This window comes from Homo sapiens, chromosome 16 (assembly GCF_000001405.40).
Source record: "Homo sapiens chromosome 16, GRCh38.p14 Primary Assembly".
Lineage (NCBI taxonomy): Eukaryota > Metazoa > Chordata > Mammalia > Primates > Hominidae > Homo > Homo sapiens.
Window position 1 is genome coordinate 7,671,033 of NC_000016.10, and position 24,949 is coordinate 7,695,981.

Consider the following 24,949-nt stretch of genomic DNA (forward strand, 5'->3'; position numbering starts at 1 on the left):
GTAGCTTCAGTGTAATTCATGAATTCATGAACTGCAATTTTGCTGTTAGTTGAAATTAATTTAACAAGTAAAGGCATTTATGCAGTTATGGTTGCTACTGTGCTGTTTTCTTAACTACTTCAATAATAAGGCATTCATCTTAAATCCTTAGATATTCCAGAAAATTCCAATCATGAGATAAAGAGATGAATGTGAAATAGTTAATTTGGACTGTTGGAATATGCTTTAAGAGGCAAGAAGCCATGAAATTATCTTTTTCTTCTTTAGAAATAAACACAAGTTATAACACAAAGTGGTTTGATCCCCATCTCCACCTTGATACTCTCCATTGCAGAGATTTGCAACTAAAAATGTTTGTCGATGCCCAGTGCCCCTTTCAGCTTGGTGGGCCAGTCCCAAGGCTTGGTGAAGTAAGAGAGAAGCAAACTTGTAAATGAATTGCTCTGGAATTTGTCTGACTTATGCATTCTCTTTTATTTATTTCATTTTTGCATTGAAAACATTACATTTCTGTTTCCTTATAGAGTAGTGTATCAAGAGCCTGTGTATGGCAATAAATTGCTGCAGGTATGAAATCCCGACTGGTGGAGAAACTCATCACTATGATTGTGGGTTTGCTGTGAAATCCTTACTAACAAGATAATTCTGGGGAGGGGAACAGTTCTCTAACATAGGAGGAAAGACTTAACTGAATTTTCCAGTTTTAATATGAAATCTCCTAGAATAGAGGTGAGGTGGCTATCCCTGTATCTATCAGTATATCCACTGTGTTGTGGCAGTTTCTTCCAAATATGGGTGCTGTTTCCATGACTGAGTGCTGTTAGCTGGCCTCAGCCATGAGCTTTGTTAGATCCTGAGTGTGTCAAATGGTGGTCTAGCTTGGCTGTTAATTTTTTAGTTTAAAAGCTATCTGGACTCAATCAGTATAAATCCAATGAAAATAATTCAAGGTTCTAATTGAACCAATTGTCTGGATAATTTTTTAGTAGGTTCCCAGAGTGAACCGGAATGGGGTTAAATCAAGAATCTCATGTGCAACATTAAGGGCCAGCATACCTGACATCTAACATAACCCTCCCTGGTCTTAGTAGAGCTGATCAGAAATTTATTTCAAGCCTGTTGTTATAGCTTTTAAACCTATTTCTCACTGCTAAAGCAACCACCAACTGAACAAATTTGTAGGAAGAAAAAAAGTCAACATATTCATTGGAATGTGGCTGGCCTAGAGTCTCCAAATTTGGTCTATTACCCACATTGAAACCGTCAAATAAGATGAATGTCAAACTGAGGATGATCAGTGAGAGTTGTAGGACATTACTTTCCCTATCTCTGCAATTCCCTTTTTTCTTCAGTATTATGAGTGAATTACGAAAGTACTTTTTGTAAACCATGAGAATTGACTGAGTTTTAATTAAAACCTGAATGTGAGAAAGAGGTACTTTGACCTAGTAAAGAGCAATATGGTTAAAATTCCTGAGATGAACTTTCACTGTCACATTTCAAGAGAACTGGACCTCCAACTGCCACCCTTCAAAAATAGATGGATGTGGCCAGGTGTGGTGGCTCACACCTGTAATCCCCGTACTTCGGGAGACCTAAGGCAGGCAGATTGCTTGAGGCCAGGGGTTCAAGACGGGGCCAGCCAGGCCTATGTATCAAAACCGCATCTCTACTAAAAATACAAGTTAGCCAGGCGTGGTGGCACATGCCTGCAGTCCCAGCTACTCGGGAGGCTGAGGCAGGAGAATCGGTTGAACCTGGGAGACACAGATTGCAGTGAGCCGAGATTGCGCCATTGTACTCCAGCCTGGGTGACAGAGAAGACTCCATCTCAAAAAAAAAAAAAAAAAAAAAAAGAACATATAGATAAATTAGGGAGATAAATTTTTCATTTTAAAATGTTCTTATAAGTATTATATAGTAAATAAGATTTAAGTTGTATGTGTATATACCAGCACACCTGTTTTGCACCAAGTGAGACTTGACCCTTGCATATTTTCATCATAAAGGGAGCCTTTACCCCTAGTTAAGCTGATTTACTTTCCTATGCACTCCAGCTGAAGGAAGCATGCGTAACACGTACATGTTACAGTCCTACCGACGCCCACGTCTCCCTAGCACACACAGGTTTCCCCTCCCCTATTTCACTGTTTGGCCGGTAGAACATTTATTTTCAAAAGTGATCTAAAGTGAAAACTTTGATTTAAGCCTCAAATTCTCTGAGATGCCTTGGAGGTCCCTCAGTGTTCATGAATATTGTCCCAAGGAGTTCCACAAACAGAGTAACCAGTTTAATTTAACTGAGCATCTGCCAAACCAGTTTGGTTGTGGAAATTTTCCTTTCCTTGCCACCATTAATACCCCACAAGCATAATTTTGAAACTGCTTTATTAGCTAGGCACAGTGGCTTACACCTGTAATCCCAGCACTTTGGGAGGCTGAATTGGGAGGATCGCTTGATCCCAGGAGTTTGACAGCAGCCTAGGCAACATAGTGAGACCCCATCTCTAGTAGTAATAAGAGAACAAAATGCTTTATTGGAGCATCATTTGAGGTGCTTAATGGGTAACTACCTCAAAGGACCTCTAGAGGTTTTGCTAACAAAGGAAACTTCTCAGTCCACATGAGTGGATCACTTTGGTGGCCTCACTCATTTGGTGGTGGTGGCAACAAGATGCACAATGACAATTTGAAATTTTTATATAAGGTTACATTTATATTTTGCTGCCCATCCTGTGAAGAAATAAATGTTTCATGAATGGGAGCGTAGAACTATTTTGTGTTTGTCATGCCTCGTTCCTTTGGTTTGGTGGTGGGAAAAATTTAATTGTCAATGACACATTTTTGTCAAATGATCTCGGAAGACCAGGTTCAACATGAACATGGTCTGGTGACAGCAATTGAAAGTGAGTGTTCCTTTTACAGACATCACTGTGGAACCTTGAAGAAGTTCTGGATATGCTCAGTGAGCTGCAAAATACAGAGCGATAAAATTGATTCAAGTCACCTGTTAGGAAAATTAAAGCAATTTGTATTTTTGTATGTAAAGCAATTTATATTTTACAGTGTATGTACACATACACTGAGTTAATACACAACTCTTATTTCCCTAGTATGAATTGCATACAGAAGAAAAATAGCAAAGGAAGACCATGCAGTAAAGATAGAGGAGAGATAAAACCACCCTAATCCCTTTTTCCCTAATTATTACATGTTTCAGGGATCATTTAGGCTGGTATTGTCCAATCCTTTGGCCACCAGTCCCCATGTGGCTATTTACATTTAAATTCAAATTAACTGAAAAGTAAATTTAAAAATCAGTTCATTGCACTAGTTACCTTTCAAGAGTTCAATAGTCATTTACTAGAAGTAGCTACTCTGTTGGACAGCACAGATATAGAACATTCATCTCCAAGTGGTCTACTGCACAGCAATGAGACCACTGATCAAGGTTTAAAATCTCTCCGCTGGCTCTGGAGAGTTAAGGAAATTGTGATCTTAACCCTGGAATCAGGAATGCTCACAAGCAAATTTCTAGATAATAAAGTCATAAATAATATCAGAATATTGACGACTTGTGCCCGTCTTGTCTGGAAACACACATTTTCTGTAACTGGCCAAGTCATATGCAAACAGAGTAGAGGTCATTTTGAGACCTTCATAGATGACCACATTTGCTGTGCAGCGGAATCCCAGGTGTACACACCTGCATTTGATGTTTCTACTATACATAACCTACTAGTCAGTGTGGTTCATTTAGTTGTTTGCACCGCAGCAATTCTTCCCATTTATCGGACTCGCTGCCTTCTTCCATTGACTGAAACTAAGGCAGAAGGTGGAGGATATGCAAAGTTCAAACCAAGAGGCTTGCAAATAGGATGTTGCTAGACATCTTTGGTGGGACCAAATTCAGTCACCAAATCATGATTCACATGGCATCTGATTGCTGCAAATACTTTTTCTTGTTCCAGAGAGAAACACATTCATACCACACACATTCTCTCCACTCAAAACTTTAAGCCTGTTGCAGCTAATGTCTTCTGGAAATCAGCTAGCCAGTTCTAGCCCCTCCCTACCTCATTAAGTTTAATGTATGTACCTGCACACCTGTATCTTTCTGTGAACTTTATGAAAGCCAAGAAGATGAACAAGCTATATAGAAAAATGGCTCCATAAACCTGGTGACCCAATTTCTCTTTAGTCCGTCACTCTGTTGAACTCAGTGCTGTTATAACTGCTTTGGTTTTATAACTCCTCAGCACATTTAATGAGTTCCCCATTCCTAATTGGAGAACATAGTATTTGGAACACCAGGTGGCATCTGGCTAAGACCTCTTTTTGTTGTGGTTAACTTCCATTACCTCTTTAAGGGAAACAAAAAAAAAAAAAACTGGTTCTAAATTATTGGTGATTATGTGGCAGGATGTTTTGGATGTGTCTTCTCCAGGACTGATCCAAAGAATAAACTTTAAAAGATAAACTCGTTTCTTTGAATTGCTGTGCAAATGATAGCATATTTACTCTGAAAGTTAACTGTGCAGGAAAGAGGCAGAAAGAAATTGAGACCCGTGTACCTACATCTTGAAAGAGGCTTTTTGTAGCTTCCCTGCTTCATCTATGTCTTATCGTATTTAGTTTCATGAAGCCAAATGCCATGAACCTACCTTTCCCTCTCATGATTCTGCTGTTGTATACCTTCTCACACACTACTTTGTCCTGAGTTGCCCCTTTATGGTGATGGTGAGGACACTTACCTCAGAGGATTATGGGACTGTGTGTTCTAATTAGAACCTGAATGGTCCTGTGTTATCAGCGGACACTGGATCCTGTTTAACTGTGCTGAGTTCATTGTACACTGGTTGATGTATCATTGTGGTCCACTGAGCAAGAAGCTCTGTTATATTCACAGTTTGATCATCAACGCTCCACTGAACACAATTCCTTTTGAATATGCCTATTTGCTCGTCCTCTTTGCTTAATTGAACAATTGCAATTACTGGTACATACAACTAAATGTTAATTATTTTTTCTTTTCAGATTTTTTCTGTTAATGATTTTATTTACAAATTAGAAGACTATCATATTTTCCACACCAAACAAATTCTCCGTCTGAAGCAGCATGATACATAACCATGTGATATCTTTGGCCAAAAAGAAATGTTCAGTCATTTTTGTAATAATTGTGTAACATTTAGACAGCTACAGACATTCTTCAATAACATTAGTGGTTTAACAACCAGATAGGTAAGAGATTACTAATAAACTTTCAATCAAAGGGTGATTTAATAAATATAAAAGACAGGAAAGCATTCACTTTATAAGAAAATAAGAACTGTTTGAATAAAATTTAAGTTAATATCTGATAAAGGTAAAGCAGAAACAATTTTGAAAATCTGGAAAGTTCAGCAAAGTATAAAGAGTATTTAAATAATTCCCCATAATCCTCTCCACCCCAAGACAATCGCCATTAACATTTAGGTACATTTTCTTCCAAGGGCCTCTAGGCTCTTCTTTTGGGATGTGCTTATGACCGCTAACCTTTAACATCCAGCTGGGGTTGGTATTCCACCCCTTGTTTCTCCAGGGTGTTTTTGTATTTTCGCTTTGATACTAAGCTTTCATTAACCTCAACTTTAGCTCAGTAGATTTGGGTAACAGCTGCTCTGGTGTGGTCTTGCCACTGGGCATCCCTGCATTGGGCTCCGCTACATTCCTGAGTCACATTTCTCCTTGTGTTTTAGGGTGGTTATGCTGCATACCGCTACGCCCAGCCTACCCCTGCCACTGCCGCTGCCTACAGTGACAGGTAAGGGTCATCCTTCTTGTGCTTGACAACTACTTGTAAATTAACTTAGTTGATGGGAGAGGAGATTCTTGTATGGTCTTGGTGAAACTGCATGACTGCTGGGGGAGGTAGCACCCCAAAAGTTAGGTCCCATGGTGAACGTGAACTCAAGTCCCCATAGAGAGAGGGCAAATGCTTCAGCCAATTCTAAACTACTCTCTCTGCTGAGACACAAAGAAAATGATAGCCTTGGTCCTTGTGTAGTTTTTCACATCTCTTAATTTCTGTGACAACGCACCTTGCTCACATACACATACACACACACACACACACACACACACACCGTACAACCTTCTTATGGTCTTCCACATAAGACCACGGTTTCATCTAACTCATAGGAAGAAAAACAGACCATGATCCTACAAGGTTTACTTCAATTTCAAGCCCCTTTCCTTTTTACAAGGTCTTATACCCAATAAATCATTCCCTCCATTGCATTATTACAATTCTAAATAAAGGAGAGGGAGAGTGTCCCTGGCATTCATAAGGAGATTGATTCTTTCTAGCAATGCCCAGTGTCCAATCCTACAAACATAAGCCAGCTTTTATTTGTAATGTACACCACATGTTAAGGCAGGCAGTGGAAGGAACACAGTGTGTTTGAGGAATGCAGAAGTCAGAATGGATGGGCAGGTTGCGGGGGTGGGGTGGAAATCAGGGGTTTCTATCACCCAGGCTGAACAGATGAGTTGGTTCCTGAAACAGCAAGCCGTAGCTACTTTTGTATGGTTGCCTTGAAAAGGAAAGTGTGTGTTTTCATATTGAATGCAACTCCTTGGCTCTGTTTTCTGAGGACATAAATGTGAATGTTCAGATGCTCTGCATGCACAAATGTCATTGAGGGTGCTTATTTTGGTAATGAGTCCTTTATTTTAAAAATATGTTTCACGAATAAAACAATGATAACAATTTGCATGTGTGGCTGGGGCATGCTGGGTCAGACAGGTAAGCAGGCGATGTATTTGACTCCTGAATGGGAAGCGTCAGCAGCCTCTGGTCCTCCTACCTGGCCTGTTGTGATGTAGTTCCTACCTCGGTTTGCTGTGGTGTGCTTTCTCTGCAGTTCCATTCCATTTCTCACGAGACGTGGTGTTAGCTAATTGTAGCTACAGAATTCTTGCAATATAATAAAGCAGAATAAATCCCTGAATCCTAAAAGCTGCATTTTGAAAACCCCATGCATACACTTGTAACAAATGGCTCTTTGGCAAGATGGAGTTGAGATCTGCTATCTGGTTCTATGCAGGTATCATTTTCTTATAAGCAGCCATAACAAGTTCTCAAGGCTGTAGGGGGCCTTCAGAGAAATCCAGACAATTGTCAAGACAAGGTTCTCAATACATAAATTATACATTTACCGAGTAATCAGTTGCCAAGATGCAAAATGTGTTTCATGTAAGTTGTTATCTCCAACACACTTTGACACTGGATTAGGAAAGTAGAGAGGGTCAATAAGACTAATAAAAATGATGACAATCTTGAAATACTCAAGATCATTCTACAAAGGAAAAGGCCTAATGTTATTAAATTCTGCACTGAAGCTTCACAAAGTATCAATTGTAATGTGGTTCAGCTGCAACCCTTAATTATTTTTTATGAAAATATCTCTAGATGCTAAATTCTCAAACACCCACTTTGTATATAATTATAATCATAGTAACTCTAGCCTGCTGTATAATTATAAGAATCTTAAACAGATTTGATTTATCTTGCTTTTCAGTATAAGTGCATCTATCCCCAAGTTGAAAAAAAAAGATTACAAAGATATGATTTAAATGGACTCCTTCAATAAGACTGGTCTAGACATTTAAACAATTAACAATATTTAATGCTATTAGAATTACCTGAGATTCTGGCCATCCCTACTTGCATTCATCTAAACATTTTTAAATTTCTGCATTTTGGAACACCATACATGTAAAATCTGTTATTTTGATATTATTCAGATTTCTCATTGGCAACATGTCCCACTGAAAGATTGCCCTTGTTCTTGGATTGGTGAATCTTTAATAACTGCAATTCCAACTTTAGTACCATAGTTTCAGTTGAAGAAACCAACTAACTAATACTGTTGTCCATATAATTGGCCTCTTGTTGTTCATTAGAGAAATTTGCACATTTGGTCTTCTTGGTTGCTGTGGAAATTGATAACTATTCCTATTTAACTTTATCATAAGCAAGACACTTGCCACATGGTATTATTCATTGAAGTAAATTAATTAATAAGTAAATGGACAGAAAGCAATCTTTAAAGTTGTATTTCTGATGTTTTAAAATGTCTATTAAATGGTGCTACTTCCTTTTATCTGTAATAAGCAGATATTGAGAAAGAATACCTTTTTATAGAAGACACGTTTAGGGGAAAATGTGAAATTATCAGAATAGCTTTTGAATCTAGATTAAAGATGCCAAGTACCTATAATTTCTCTCAGAAGTAGCAATTGTGTAACCAATTATTTTTATATCATCACAGCATAGAATCAGTAAGTGATGGAAGCTTAGTTCCTCTTCTGTAGAAGACAGGCAAGATAAAGAAAAACTTAACAGAAAAACTTCGTCCAAAATAGGAAGTAAAATCAGCAGGCATTGAGAATGTTTTGGTAATGCTCACTGGTTGTCAGTTGATCAAAAGAGAAACAGCAACAAACTTTCCCTGTAATCATGAGATTCACTCTTCAGACATCTTGAAAGCAAAAGAAGTTTGATGTCCCCAGTTGGTAGGATTTTACCTTTTTTCAGCACAAATTAAGCCCTCATCAAATGAAAGATTCAGGGATCTTTGAAAAATATTGAACTCCAGTAACCTCAGGACTGTCCAGAAGGTCCTTAATGGGCACCTTGCAACTCCCTGCCCATCATCTTCTTGGTTAAATGATCACATGCTGATTATCTCGGAGCAACCTGAGAGTCTCTGAATGTTGACCTCCAGAAAGAAGACCATCTGGTGTGGGCAGAGATTTCCCCAAAAGAAAAATACCTGACTGGACTAGGTAATTTTATAGTCTCATTGACAAATTTAATGGGAATAGGTGAACATCTTTTCTTGGCATTTAGGAAACATTTGGCAAAGCACTTGACCTTCACCAAATCTTTATTTCTAATCTCACTTTGATTTATGCAAAGCCAACTGTCTGAACTTTCAAAGGAGAGCGTTTCCTGAGCTTGAACCAACTGAAGCATGGCAGAGGGGCCTTTGGTCATCCGGTCATTGCATGCCACTTGGTGTTGCTGATGTGTCTGTGATACGTTCTGGATTGGACAGGTCCATCACATCAGCTTGATGAATGGCTTGCTTGAATTAAGCCTGGGGGCAGGCTTCTCTTTATTGATTGGCTCATGGTTTGTGTATTATGACTTGGTTGTTGTTGCATCTTGAAGCAGCCAAACTGGGAGGTGCGGAGGGGGTGGAAAAGATTCCCTGTTTGATCAACTGTGCCACAAATATTTGGGAAAATGTGATGTGTACATGGCTTTGATGAAAGTGTTATCTCCCCAGACAGACAGACATTTGTCATGCTTGTCCTGCTTGCTAACACTCTTAACATTTCCTAATGATCAGTGCATGAAAATGTCCCTCCACGTCAGGGCTGAAAGTAGCTAGATGCAGACCGCCTAGAGACGGAAGCAAGACAGTTTTTCACTCAGATTTCATCACAGTCCAATTACACTGATAGTTACCAGGGGCCATTTCTTCCACATAAAACATGCATTTCTTGTAAAGATCCATGAAAGCCAAGAAGCTTTTGACATTAATTGCGGCACCAGGCCACACAGGTATCTCTAAACTGAGCAAAAGATGGCAACCAACATAATTTTGTTTTAATGTATACCTTTTTGGATTCTGAGGCCTTAAAGTTTCACTGCTAATGTAGAGTTAGAAATTGCTACTTTTGTGTGACAAAAATGACATATTGGCTCTGTTGTAATATGAAAATATACATATATCTACATAAATGTTACGTAGCTCAACTTAATAGAAATCCAAATAAAATGCCATATTATCTTCCTCTCTGCACACACACACGTACACACACACACACTCACTTGTGCCTTGGGGCCTCACAAGGGACTTATAAGTGTTTTCAGGTAAAGCTTAATGCAAAGAGACCAGGGCTTGTTAATTTCAAGTGGTCACAAACTACATGCTAGAGAACGTAAGTTAAATATGACATTCATAACCTATGAATAAAAGGTTCTATTTCAGAGACAGATTTGTGTTTCTTAGAACCTAGTAAGGATAAGTAGGCATATTTTCAGGTTCATAGAGGATTTAGTCTTATTTTAAAATTATTTAAGTGACAGAGATAGACATATACATACATCCATGCTTACACATACATAGATGGGTGAAGGATGGGTAGATGGATAGATGGAGATAAATCGATACATAGGTGGGTGGATGAATGGAAAAAGAGGGAAGGAAGCAAGGAAGGGACCATCTTTCTGCCCTCTAATATTTCATCATAAGCTAAATACAGAAAATAGGACTAAATCCTTATGCACAAAAGATTGTACAAGCTGAACTAAAAAAGTAAAAGGATTTGAGTTGATTTCCATTAGCGCAGGCTACTTCCTGTCTATTTTAGAATTTTTCTGGCCTCAGATTAAGTAGTAGAGAAAGGCTGTCATGAAAATAGACAGGCAAATAAGTATATTTACAGTGATATTCCATTTTAATTGGAGTTCTTATCCGATGATATATACTAAAAATTAAGGAATTGTCAGCATATAAAGTATATGAGCATCCTGAATAGAAAATTTAATTTACCATTTAAGGGCTTATTTTTGTAGGAAGGTTAATTTTTTAAGAAGATGTTGTATTTTATGGACATTATGTTTTCATTTTTTTTTTCCCATGGGATAGGATATAGTTTAACCTGTGGATAATTTGGAACCCTTAATGAAAGTACACATGCAAAGCAGACAAAGGGGGCACTTGCTTTGCTTTCCCCAGTCCTCTTATCTGAACCAAGTTTGATAGGGATTGAAAATATTTCTAGCTAAACAGCAGTAGCAGCCCTTGTTCTTATTCTTTGTGATGTGTGGCAAGGAGAGATCTCAAGATCTTATTCTAGTGCCGTATTGAAAGCAGTATCTCCCAAGGCCAGTTCAAGACCTGGCACCTGCCTTTGATGGCATATTTACGGTTTATCAAAACGGAAGAACACCAACCATGTAATATGGTTGTCAACCCTCTTTTCTGGGAAATAGGCTGTATCTATTCTTCCTTCTCACATGCTGTTTAAAAAGATTTATAAAATTAGAACAATAGCAAACGGTAGTTTTAGACATCCAATTTTGTTTTTCATGTTCTTCCTTGGCAAAGTAAACATTGGCAACTTTATGCTAGACTCTGTATCATTTTATTTACATTTGCAGTCTCTGAGAAATCTGTTGGAAAAATATAGTGAGAGCATTGTAAAACATGGCCATGCCAGAGATGGTATTCTCAGATCAACAAGGAACTGAGGATGGAGTTCTTGGGGGTTCAGAAGGGATGGGAGAGTTTTCCATGCCATCTTCCCAGCTGGGATACAGACCCAAAGGCAGAGAGAAGCCACTTGCAAGTTTGAGTCTAGGCTGTGGAATCAATACGTGGCAAATAAGCCAAAGTCATATCTCTGTGCCATTTTTGATGGTGCTTTGAAGAAGCTGTTCTTGGTTTTAGTTTTTTTTTTTTTTAATCTTTTATTTTTACTCAACCTGATGAACTCTCTTGGGTTCTATAATTTTTTTTAAAAAAAAGATGATCTGTCAAGTTGTAATAAGAATGTAGCAGAAATGAGTCACTCATGCCTTTATTTACATCCTCCTGTGCCCCTGTGTCTAGAAAAGCACGTCCAGGTTTTAGTTAGAACTCCAGGTTGAGCACGTGTACATCTATACATATCTACATGTATAAACACACACTTTTTCTTGTTCATTTAAAGTTTACTTTCCTAACAGATCCATTTTGTTGTTGTTGTTTTTTGGGGTTTTTGCCTATTCAGACTCTCCTTAGGAAGAAAAAGTGAAAGCAATTGTCCTAGACAGCTTTCGGGTAACTAGAAACACACAGTTATACCTGTGAGATTCCTATTACAAAGCACACATGCCAGATAAATTTCTTAATACTTCTATGTGTGTGTGTGTGTATATATATATATATATATATATAAAACAGTGCTCCTCTTAAAGTGATGTTGATTGTATATTCTCCAAAAAATTAGGATAACTAAGATAATTCTATTTCCTCCTGATCTGCTCTGTAGACTGTCACTGATGTATGGAGATGGCTCTGAAATAGTGAGGAAGGGAAGGTACATCTCAGCTTTTGATAGTAGAGTCACCGTAATTTTTTAAAATTGGGTTTATGCATGTCAAGCTCTCAGTACTGAGAAGTAATATGGCTGTAACTGATAGATATATTTCCTGAGTTTCTCTTAGTTTATAGAAATCACACACACACAGAGACAGACAGACAGACACACACACGTTAAAAGAAAATGTGTTCAACTTTCTCTCTCAAGAACTAATTGCCTTTGGTCCATAATCTATAATGGCTTCATAACAACTGTTATGCACTATTGGATGAATATGTAATTGAATCAGTTTAAAAAAAGAACCAATCCTGTAACAGTCAACAGACTGGACCACCAAGGAGTTGGGGAGAGATTAAAGGAATTTCCAAGCCCAACAGACCGTAGCTGTCACAGCCACGTGGGTAGACACTTTTGCCAGTGACAAGGCAAGGTGTAACAACTCCTTTGGTCATGTCATGGCCTAATTACACACTTTTTAGGTCGCAGATCATTGACTTGATAGGCCACAAAAAAGGAAATAAAGCCTGTCTTTTCAGTAGCAGCATCAGAACCCTTCAGCTGTGAAGGGTTTAGAGGCAGGTTGGGAAAGCCTAATGCTTTCTAGGTGTAGCTCTGTTGAGAATATACGTGCAAAGCCCTATGAATGAGCCATTTCTATTGCTAAAAAAAAACCTGCATTCTAGAAGACAGTAATCCAGTAAAGCAGAAGATAGAATATCTTAGCTCATGCAGCATTTGTGGATGTGGCAATAAAAATTAAACCGCTCCACTTTGTTACGTTGTTCTTTGTTTGGGTTTTATGTCACTAGGTAGTATACTATGGATGGTAGTATACTATCTTTCAAGATAAGATGAAATTTTTCAGTAAAAGTGTCTAATATTTCATTTTAAGTTATCAAAGCAAGTTCTGACTCTGTACTTACCACAAGTTGAAATTCTTTTCCAGAAGAACTGATTTCTATTTCAATGTGGCCTCTAATTTATTTCCACTTTTGTGTGTAGTACATGCATGTAAGCAGTCACCAGACAGAAATGACTTATGGCTTCCTTGGTGTAAATCACAATGCTTGGTTCCTGTGGAATTAGGCACTTCTCAAAAACTATGATGAATTTCATATTTAATTAACATATGAAACATTTAGAATAGGGGCCACTATTGGAATTTGAGGGGATGGGAGTCTGTGGGGCAAAAACTAGGGAGAATAGAAGGAGTAACTAGTCACTTTTCTTTTTTTCCAAGCTAATTATTGATACATTATGATGTGTGACTGTTCAAATAGATTAACAGATTTCTGAAAGCTGAAACATAATCAAAGCCAAATATTCTCGTAATTATCCCAATCATTTAGATTGAAATGCTTTGGCCTGAGATTATAGAAATATGCCACACATATGATAAGCTAAATCAGTGGTTCTAACGGGTCTTGGGGACCTGGAATTTAAAGAAAAAAAAAAACATGATTGTTAGATGCTTCTAACATCCTCTCAATTCTTGCCTTTCATGGTTTCAATTTTGTAATTTAAAATTTTAGAATGTATTAAGAGATGAAGAACTTGTTTTTTCCACCATTTCTGCTTTGTTAGAGTGTTTGTGGATGACTACTACCAAACAGAATATGAGCCCAGGTAGTGGGAGTGGAGGCACTTTAATAATTCTTCCTGGACAATACCAGCTTCCCTGTTTTTTCAGAATGATCGTTTCCCCACTATTTTTGTTTTCTTCCATTTCTGTCTCCCAAACTTAGAAAATGAACAAATGGGGGAAAAGGAGGATTAACTTGTTCTGTTTTGAAATTTCAAGATTTGAGTGGATCATCTAAAAAGCCTGCAGAGCCTTGCCTTGTAAAGTGTAGTTTCCAGACCAACACCATTGGGCTCACCAGGAGCCTGTGAGAATGTAGAATCCCAAACCCCAGTCCCAGCCGTGCTGAACCAGAAGCTGCACTTCCCAGACTCCAGAATGACTAGTGAAGTTTGAGAAGCCCCACTTTAGAGAACAAGCTTCTGTTCTACCCCGATATGCCATAATGTTGACAAAGGGTTGTCCTGCCACAAACCTTGCAAGAGATAAGAGGATCTATCTTTATAAATTATTGACTTTTATTACCATTGCCTCTCTACTCTCCCTTCTTCAATGAGAGAGTAAGAACTATCAACAGCTGAGTGACTTCTTCCCTCTCCTGGCCCAGGGCCACAATTAATTCTTTACCCCAAAAGATCCGTGGACGGAAACAGTTATTTATGCTAACATCGTGTCATTAATTGCATAGATTCACGCTAATATAAAGGAGTACCTGAAAAAGTTCCATCTGATTTCACTTTACTGACCCTCAGTTTTTTCCTATGCTAAGTGGAAAGCATGGTACTAATTAGAATCAGAAAGAGATGAAGAAGGTGAACATTATAAACTGAAAGAGGTGGTGCAAATGTTATCAATAACTCGGTTTCAGATTGACATATTTTGGAATGTATGCTAGTATTTGCAGTGAATATATAGAGGCAGTAGCAAGTACATTAAATTAAATGCATTTAAAAATGTAAGGTTATTTTTAGTCTAGGCAATCTCTAAGACACACTGTAACACTAACCCTCTGGGAACCTGTGCCTTGCTTAGCATCCCAGGTCTTGTAGGTAACTGTGTCAAGATTTGAAATCAGATCTTTTATTCTCATTGGACCTACTCTGATATAGACATGCACTAGCAAATCATTGCTGTTGATACAGAGAATAGGATTACAGATTGAGATTTACACGTGGGTCCTGAATCTCTGTGAGGTTACTTACTACACGAGATAATTTGGGCAGGCCAACATTGAGCTAGTTGACCCTCAACTGCCTCATCTATAAAGTGGGATTAATGGATGACCATTGCTTCTTTGCGTGGTTGTGAGAATCCATTGCTGTCATGAACAGAAAGCCCCTCTAAGAGATCCTGACACTTAGTTCTCAGGATATTAGCAGCAGCAGCATCACTGAACTGTGGGATTATCGTGTTCTGTTCTCGAGTGAAAAAAAAAACAAGGAGTTTCCTGTGGAAACGGGTTTTATGAGTTAGAATAATTTTTGACTAAATACATTTGTTTTTGGTTGTTTTAAAATCTTGACTTCTACCCTAGAAATATAAACATAGGTTGGGGAATAGAAATTGGGAACCGCAAGATCAAATATCCTATCCTTCTTTTTCAACCTGTGCCTTGGATATTTGTTATCTTTTCTGCTCATGGATCAGCTTAGGCCACCACACATGCATTAGCTTTGTAGAAGAAATGCCCAATCTCCCAGTATAAACCCAGCCTTCGAACTATCACCGCTTTGGATTTTTGTAAAACCAATTGCCTGCCCTCTTCTTTGGGTGGAGAGAGAAAGAGACTTTCCTTTAGGAGTCTACACAGACAAAAAAAGAAAAAGCCAATTTTTCTACCAATAAAATGACTTCACATTTGTTTCTCATTCAACTTGCACAAAAGGTCTGGGAAGGGCATGTACTGTTTTTATATCTCAATTTTTCCAAATGAAGAAACTGAGGTCCAGACAGGTGAAATGAATTTTCTATTGGAATACAGCTTATATGCAACAAAGCATGGTTTTCAGATTCACGGTTGGTTCTCTTTCACCTGAGCCTAGACAAGAAGTGCAGTGGGAACTGGGGAGAATGTTAAATGTTGGAGGAACTAAAATGACAAAAGGGAACTGTTCAAGGTCTCCAAGTAATGGAGATGAACTTGGGTTTGAATTTCCAAAACTCAGATCTTTTTTTGGTAGAATAGCCAAACTGGGGAGAGATTCACAGACCTTATCTTCTTTCTGTTTAAGCTTCTTTACGAATATCATGTTAGCAATAGGAACTGTGTCTAAATGAAATGTTTTTAAGTGTATTTTCATGTGTTCCCCCTTTTCAAAAAGAGATAGGTGTAGGACCTTTGAGAGCTTTCTATAATCAATCTGTTTGGTTACTTGTCTGTGTATACCCTGTCTCATTCTACAATTTGCCACAGTGTATTGAAGTACACGTGACAACACTAAACTGAATAAAAGTGACAGGGCAGGTAAAAAATATGAATCTGAATGGGATTTGTACCATTCTGGAGTAGAGTATTAGTATTTTATGTGGAAAGGAGGTAAAATACTGATTGCAAGGAACCTCCCTTTGAAGGTGATAAAACTGAAATATAAATTAGATTATGAGCTTCCAGACAGGCAAGTCCAAGATACTCCAGTGATTTAAAGGATATGAGCATAGCATCAGACCCCTTAGACTTAGCTCAGTGCCTGATATGTAGCAAGCCCCTCATTTACAATCTGAGGGCTGAATGATGTGAGTCAACTCTTTGGTAAGATCAGCAATATGAATTTTAATAGGTACATCCTATCTGCATATTATGTTTAATATTCAGAAAACACTCATGGCTGAGTTCCATATGGCACGTCTAGCAATTTTAACAACAAGAATAAACTGATTATTGTGACTTTCCACCTTAATTTTACATGTAAAAAAGGAAGCAACCTGGTAAGCATGATTATAAGACAATTACTAATTATAACTACTGTAATTAGTATAATTAGCAATTAAAATATTAAGTATAAAATGTTAAAAATCAACACTAGTGCAATTTAAACCCAAAAGACACAACTGTTTCCTGAAGAGGCAAGATACATATGTTCAGAGAGGTATTCATACAGTGAGATGAGTTCTCCGTGCTGGCTGACAGATGAGAATCAACCCCAGGGGTTTTTCAGGCATATCTGTACATGGGAACCACTCTCAAAGATGCTCAAGTTAAATGACCGGGGTGTGGGCCTGGTCATTGGTATTTTATTTAAAAAACAATCCTAGCTGAATATTTATTAAAAAACAAAGTATTGGCTGGGCAGTCAGGGCTAAAAACCTCTGCCTTATAAACAACAGATATCCCAATACGTACAGGTAGAATTGGATTTTGTCCCACTGCTATCCTGGGGCATCTTGGCTGCCATCTACCAGGCCAGAAGACCAACTTCTCAGCTGTAGGGATTGCCTAGTAGGCATCCTTGGCAGGTTTAAATGTGTGTGTGTGTGTGTGTGTGTGTGTGTGTGTGTGTGTGAGAGAGAGAGAGAGAGAGAGAGATTCAATATTCATAGCATTGGATACAAGAAGAATCTTGCTATGAGTGATATCGATCCTGAGATATATTTAACAATAGCAATGTAACAGAATTAAGAAGCCAAATAATGAGAAGTGAGCAGAATCTTTGCCCATAAGACTTAAAGACAGTATTATTTGCTATGGGGAATGTTTACGTCCCACCTGCCCGCACCAAAAGTTTTCTCTGACTTGATATCTAGCATCTCATGTCCCCTCCAGCAACACAGGCTGGCTACTGTTTTAATTTAACTCTGAGAATTCAGCTGTGGGTAATTTTTCAGAAGGAAAACTGCCAAGAGATGAGATTTAACCTAAGGAACAAAAGTGGGCTATGAGGGTGATATGCGGCAATCCACAGGACTAATTTAAGTGTACCACCAGCTGAGGCAGATAGAGTATAGATGGTTGATCTATAAAACCATCTTAAAAGATTAGTCAGGCTAGTGACATAAGAGTGAAAGAGACAGACCATGGCATATGCCATTTCATAATCAAGTTGTTGTTAGAATATGTTTTTAATTCTTTCTCTCAATTATTCTCAAAGAGGAGTTCAAATATTTCTTAGAGGAAATGAAGATTCAGAATGTTAAGTTACTCCACAGAGACATCACACCTCACTGCTGATTAAATACCCCCTACGTGAATGTTCCAAGCAGAACCTTAGATAGTAAAAGCTTGGTCTTGAGCCAAGCCAACTGTGTTCAGGTTTCACCTCTACCACTTAACAGCTGCTCGCATTATGTAACTTTTCCATGCCTCAGTTTCGTCATCTACAAGACGAGGATAAAAAGAAGGGTTATAAGAAAAATTAAATGAATACATAGGTATGACACTTGGCAACTTGCAGTCATAAGTGCCCCATCAGTGTTAGATAGTAGCCGTTGCAATCAACATTCCCATGAGCCAAGACAAACACAGCCTTCTCCCTTAAACTCAATTTGGCCATTTCATCATTTTTCATACATTGGTAATCCTTCCTCTTCTCCACCCCCAACCAAGCCTTCCCAGTTCAAAATAATCTTCCTGGGACAGGTGAGCTTTGAAGTGAAAATGGGAATGAACTTGCAGATTTTTCAGCAAGGTTGCCCAAACTTCAAGGTAAGAAGCAGCAGGAGGCGTGATTCCCTCACAGCAGAATCTGCTACCTACAGAACAGTGAAAATGAGTGCCTGTGGAGCTGATCAACAGGCAGGCCTGAGTTCTTATTAAGTGTATAGATTACCAGACCTCTCTCCTGGAAATTCTGATTCAGGTGGTCAGAGTTGAAACCCAGGAATCTATACCTTGAATGAGCACTCTAGGCATTCTTATCTTCAGGGAAGTTGGAGAAATTTTGGAGTGGAAGAGAGGTAGAATATAGAAAAGTTGTGGGTGACAGGAATGGGAAAATACAGAAGTAGGGGCCAACTCAAAGAAAAATGGAAAAACCCAAGCAAGGATGATCTTGAGTAAATGCATAAGAAGTGGTCCATTAAGAGGAACAGGTAAGGAAGAACTCAAATACCAAGAGTATGATATGGCCACTGTAGAGCAGTTTCTCTTTCAGGATGAGGTTTAAAGTCAACTCTTAGAAGGCATCTAGAAACTAGAAGTACCCTTTCTTGGATACTGTATCAGGTTTGTGTGGTTGCATAGTCTAAAACCTAAGTAGCTAGGTTGCCCTGGAGGCAAGCATGGTGGCCAAACAGAAGCTGCAAAAGTAGAAACCAAAGTTGGAAGAGATTCAGTGATTCAACTCCCTTGAATCCCTTCCTTGAATCCACTTCCTTGAATCTCTTGAATCCCTCTGCCTTGGTGCCATAACACTGCTTCTCAGCTGGGCCACATATTAGAGTCACCTATAGAGCATTTTCCGAACTACTTTCCAGGCCCTACCCCAGATCAATTAAAGCAGAAACCTCAGGAATGGGCCCTATCACTGGCACTCTCTTAACCTCTATGAATCTAAGGAGCAGCCAAGGTGAGGACCATTCACCTCAACAAGTGATTTTCAAACGAAGAACGTTAGCACATTAGAATCACTTGGAAGCATTTAAAAACTGCTGAGGCCCGAGACCCAGTTTCAGAGGTTACCATTTAATTGGTCTTCAGTGTAGCTTGGTAACCAGAAATTTTTAGAAGTGCACCAATTATTTACAATGTGCAGCCAAGGTTGAGAACGACTCAGCCAGACTTGTTTTATGAACAACTAAGGAACAGACCAGTTTGTGGAAAATCAGGTGCATTTTGAAGTTTAAATTCACGGGTCTGTGTTGAGAGAAAGCAGCACACTAGGGTTTGCATAAGGAGACAGACCCTGGTACCAGCCTTCTTTCTTCTCCTGAGAGGCAGCCCCACTGTCCAGAATATACCTGCATTGTTCTGATCTTTTAATTTTTCTGAAGTTGTTTGGATATAGCGGAGACATTCGTCTCTTTGATCATATGTGTCTCTGGTCATCTGGGGCAAATGGCTTGAGAGAGGGTCATAGATGATCCATTTATGGGCCCTCTAAATCAATAGTCTTAATGTTCAAGGTGAAACAGCTGTACATAAAATGGCATAACATGGTGAATATAGACAGCAACATGCAATCTCCCCTTAGAACTGTACCAGAATTCTTCTGTTGTCCTGACACTGCAGGCCACCAAAGCCAATCTGATTTTACAGACATTTCCTGTTAATTGCACTTACCGATTGATGAAAGCATTGTTCAGGGAAGTAGTGATCACACAGATTGAATTCATGGAATTAATTAATGAACTCTATAGAAAGGCACTTTCTGACACCTTATGGTGACCTTTCTGGGATGTAGTGGGATTGTTTATGTGGATTAAAAAATAAAATAGTACAGAATGGATACGTCAAAAAAATACTTAACTGGTAGCTGTTAACTCCTTTTAAATGTCACTATTATTGAGAACTCTGCCTTGAAACAGATGTGAATTTGTAGTCAGAAGTAATCTAAGCCAACTCTTTTGAAGAGGGTGAGTTGTCAAAGGGAGTAGTCCCTTTTGTTCTGAAACTTAGGGATCAAGAAGAGACCAGGGGTAAAAAATAAAATAAAAATCAATACACATAGGTTTTCAAAAAAAAAAAGTGGGGGAGAGAAAGAATGAAGGGAAAATGAAAGGAGAGAAAGAACGGAAAGAAAACGGAAAGGAAAGGAGAAAAGGAAGGAAAGGGTAGGAGAGGAAAAGAGGAAGAAAGGAGGAAGGAAAAAGGGTAGTTTAAGGTTAAGTGCAGACTCAAAAAGAATACTTTCAAGGACACCATCATACTATAAAATTCTGAAACAATTTTTAAAAACAAGCCTAGTTTCTTAGAGGGCTGTTTCTATTCATACTTGTAGGTTGCATTTTAAAAGTTACCTATTCGTTCAGTCACAATTTTACATCTGTTTTTGTCTCCAAGTGGCTTTCCTGATGTCTAGCACATTGGACAGTTCCTTAGGGAAAATTGCAGAAAGGGAACACAAGCTAGCAATCTGTTCTAGGATTAGGCAGTAGAAATTGGGTAGAGCTGCCCCACCCTCCTGCCATAGATATGTGAATGCCTAGTGCAAAGACCTTGCCGCTTTGGATAAATCATGTCGCCATTCTTGCTTACGGTAGCATTCTTAGGAGCATTCTGTAAATAGAGGTTATTCTAAGTGCCTGTTTTGTGCAGCCCAGAATATCATACCTGTAGTTAGGAATTCCCGTGTTATTGCCCCTTCTATAAGTCAAAGGTGAGTAAGTCAAATATTCAACCAAAATATCTCCTTTGTTTTCAGGGATAAATTTTATTGCTCCTCTAACATAGGGAATCTGGGGCCAGATATTCATGCGGCTCAAAAAGTCTGTGTCAAAAAGCCCAAAATCTTATGTTAACTTTTATTGTCTTAAGGAAAGTGATAAACTTAGTTGTGACTTGTTATGTAGGAGAAAAGTACTAAAAATATTATTCTCAAAGCATGTATAACTTGTTTATATTTTATTGGTGTAGAAATGACTAGAATTTAACTGAATGTGAAATTCTAGGGAATATTCAAATGGCAGCTCTATTTATATTCCAGGGTGTACCTCTTGCAACAGTAAAACTTTCTTAAGATGTTTTAAGAAATGCTCCATCACTAGATACCTTTTGAAGCACTGAAACATTTGAACAAAACCAATCATACTAAGAAGAAAAATGCATTTATCTTGGTTCTTGGTGATCCATAAGCATAATAAAAATCTAACCGATGAAAACCCAGAGCCCCTGTACTGCTACTTTTGAGGCATTTACGAACCTAGCCAACCTCATTGTGCCATTTTTATAATTTGACTCAGACGATCTTATTTGTAGACGAATTAGTACCTCTGAATTAGAACACATAATATCGTGGAAGTGTCACAGTTGGAAACGTCTTAAGAGAGTTTTATCATCTTTCTGGGTTTACTAAAAGTAAAATAGCATTTTCTATTTTCATTATTTTTAATACTGCATCATTAAAAATAATTAGGGTTTATTTCAATTGACAAGTTCTCTTAGCTCTATGTAGCAAGCTGGGTTTGATGAGGAAATTATTATCCATAACACATCACCATATAAAATTGTCTTCTGAAATGACAGCACTTTTTCTTATTTTTTTTTGATATTATAAGTCTAGAATTTTATAATTTTTCTAGCTAGCTGTAGTATACCCTATTTCTTAATCATTAGTCCCATTTTAAAAAGTAATCTCTTTAGCATAGAAAGTCATATGAGCACAATTTGAAATGCTTTAGCCTTAGAAACATATCCTGGCATGTTTTGGTAACACATAGTATTAATATTTGGTGCAACAGCTTGTACATAGTTCGTATTCTGACATTACCATGACTTTAAGAGGTCCCCGCATGCTTATTTCATGATCTTTCTAAACTCTGAGGTACATCAGCACATTTCCTCGCAACATCCATTCACACGCAGCACCCTTCCCTCCCCTCATCTGTACACATCGAAGCAATTGGCAGAGAGCACATTTCCCCCTGAGCGAGCAGTATTGTGAATTTTATCTTCTCTTCCAGAAATCAGTTCGTCTTCGTTGCAGCAGATGAAATTTCTTGTAACACCTCTGCAGGTAACAAACGTTGCTACTTCTTGATGCATCCATCCAAGTCTCAGTATCCTTTTTTTTTTTTTTTTTTCTTCTTCACATGCTGCAGTTGGTCACTCTAGAAAGTTTAGTTAAGAAAAAAAAAAAAGATCTTATATCTTTGGAGTACAGCTGAAGCCTTGAGGCTCTGCCATATAAGACGACATTAGGCATTTTGCTAACTTTGATGTTTTATTTCTGGTTTTAATAATACATGGTCCAGAAAAGTAAGAGTATGTTGAATGAATCCACAAGAAAATCTTACAGTATAATCAGTGCTCTTATGGTAAAATAGGGAACAGGAAGATTAGGTACACAGACGTATGACTTCCATGTTTTTTGACGTGTTATGTCTGGGTTCATAGAGACTGATGTGTGAATTATTTGGGATCTTTATGGAATATTAGAGGCTGTAAAAGACTGAATCTATAAAGCTTAGAGGCATTCGAGAATATAATTATCTCTGTCTTATAAGAAGGGGATCTTCATTCTATTAGCCAAAGATCCTCTATTTCCTTTCTTATAAAACATCTCTCAAGTAGCAGGACTTAGAGAGACCAGGTCTTTTGGTTTTGAAACCAGGACATTGGCAAATGGAAATTGCATAGCTGCATGATACGTCCATCAAAATAACACCTGTCTTTTTTCTTTGATGTGGTTCAGAACAGTTAAATTTGTACTTTGATTAGTATGGAGTTAATTAAATGCCAAGATAGGTGAATGCCTTAACACTAGATTTCCTTCTTTTTCCTTTTGTCGTTTTTAAGCCTAAACTATGACCAAAACAATCACTAGGAAGTCTTGCCAATGTGTTGCTTTCAGCCTGCGAGGGAGGACGTTACAACTTATCACTACATAACTGAGCATCCCATGACCTTCAGACACATACATTAAACTGAACCTTACAAATAAACACTCATCTGTTACCTTTTATCAATGCTGCAGTAAAAAAAGGCTTATGTGCCAATGTTTCACTCCCTATTTACTGCCTTTGGTGAGAATGAATGAATGAAAGGAAGGACAGAGAGCTAGGAACATGCACCCAACTATCTCTGTTCTAAAAGGCAGGGTCAGTTTTATTTATATGGTCAGCCTCAACCTTCATAACGGGTTAAAGTCTTACCTGGTGAGTTCAAGAGGTATGCATGATGCATGCTGACATTTTAAAACAATGGTATACTCTTTCTATAAAACCTCTTTGCTGATGGTCCTGCAATTTCCCTCTTAACCCCTAGACTCGTATCTCTGCTTCTCATTGTGAGAGGTGGCGACATCCTTAACACTTTACTAATGCCCAGTGCTAGGTGCAATGGTTAATTGAATTGCTGGGAGTGGCAGGGAATGTTCCTGCAATACAAAAGTTGTTTAACATTTTCAGAGCCTTAGTGGAATGGAGCATGAAACAAAAGGGGAGACCGCTTGGAATGGGAGGTAGGGGTGGGGAATAATGTTAATTTAAAATGTTCATAGGCCTCATGTATAGATGCCTCAGTGCACTAGAGCTTCTGCCTTCTGTTAACCCCTGTGCATGTTCCAGTATGTTAGGTTATATTTGGACATCTTAGATCAAACATGAAAAAGATATTGATTTTGCCCCGTGACTTAAACCCTGCCTTATAAGCAAGTGATCCACACACAATATTTCTAAGAAAGGCGACAGAAAATGAAAGTTTGCATGCGTGTGGTGAGTGTTTCCATCTACCTAATCTAGATGGCTGCTCAGTAAATTCTTAATGAATTGCTATTGATCACATTTCAGATTGAGAGAGATATCCCTAGTCCTTTGATGGCCATTTTAATATTATGTTGCATGCTTCATAAGGTTCCGTTTGAACTCTGAATTTTGAATGAAGCATGAAAAAGGAGACACCCATATCCATCAAATGTCAGATTATCTCCCAGCAAGTTCACCTTGCTCATAGAGCGAAAATGAAAAATCAAAACTGCTCAGTCAACAAAGGTTGTAACTCGTGGTTTCAGTGAAAGCCTTCTAGGGCATCATCTCCTACATGCTGAAAAAACCTGCTTTGGGAGGCCAAGGTGGGTGGATCATGAGGGTCAGGAGTCTAAGACCAGCCTGGCCAACATGGTGAAACCCCATCTCTACTAAAAATACAAAAATTAGCCGGGTGTGGTGGCACATGCCTGTAATCCCAACTACTCAGGAGACTGAGGCAGAGAATTGCTTGAACTGGGGAGGCGGAGGTTGCAGTGAGCAGAGACTGCGCCACTGCACTCCGGCCTGGACGACAGAGCAAGCCTCCATCAAAAAAAAAAAAAAAAAAAAAAATCCTGCTGTGCCCACTACCCACATTCTAAACAGCACTACTGTAATGAGCTCTCACCTCCTTATAAAAACATTTATTAGAGCAGGTGTATTGAATCCTGCTATCTACTGGATATCAGAGTTTGACAAAAGACAAGTTCTCTATTTTTAAATGGAGAAAAAAAAATCAACATGCTTAAAATCTCAGTGTGGGGTTTGATGGATGTTATAACTGAAATTCTTATAAAGAGGTGCTATTGTCACATTGATGCCCATGGTGGATGGGCTAAGCATAGGCAGCCATCAGGGGCTTCGGGTGGAGATAGTGAGATG

The 24,949-nt window shown here is 38.4% G+C and overlaps 1 protein-coding gene across 52 annotated transcripts in view; it reads left to right on the forward strand.

Annotated features, from left to right (window-relative positions):
* The window catches only part of RBFOX1 (RNA binding fox-1 homolog 1), a 2,473,620-nt gene that overhangs the window by 2,431,312 nt on the left and 17,359 nt on the right, over positions 1 to 24,949 (forward strand). For 20 of the 52 annotated variants that reach the window (NM_001415888.1, NM_018723.4, NM_001142333.2 and 17 more), the window contains one exon: positions 5,742 to 5,806. In NM_001415888.1, the coding sequence (NP_001402817.1) occupies positions 5,742 to 5,806 (65 nt within the window). Of the gene's footprint in view, positions 1 to 524; positions 568 to 5,741; positions 5,807 to 22,282; positions 22,336 to 24,949 lie in introns of all 52 variants that reach the window. The other 32 variants (NM_001415887.1, NM_001364800.2, NM_001415895.1 and 29 more) reach the window with 3 other exon arrangements.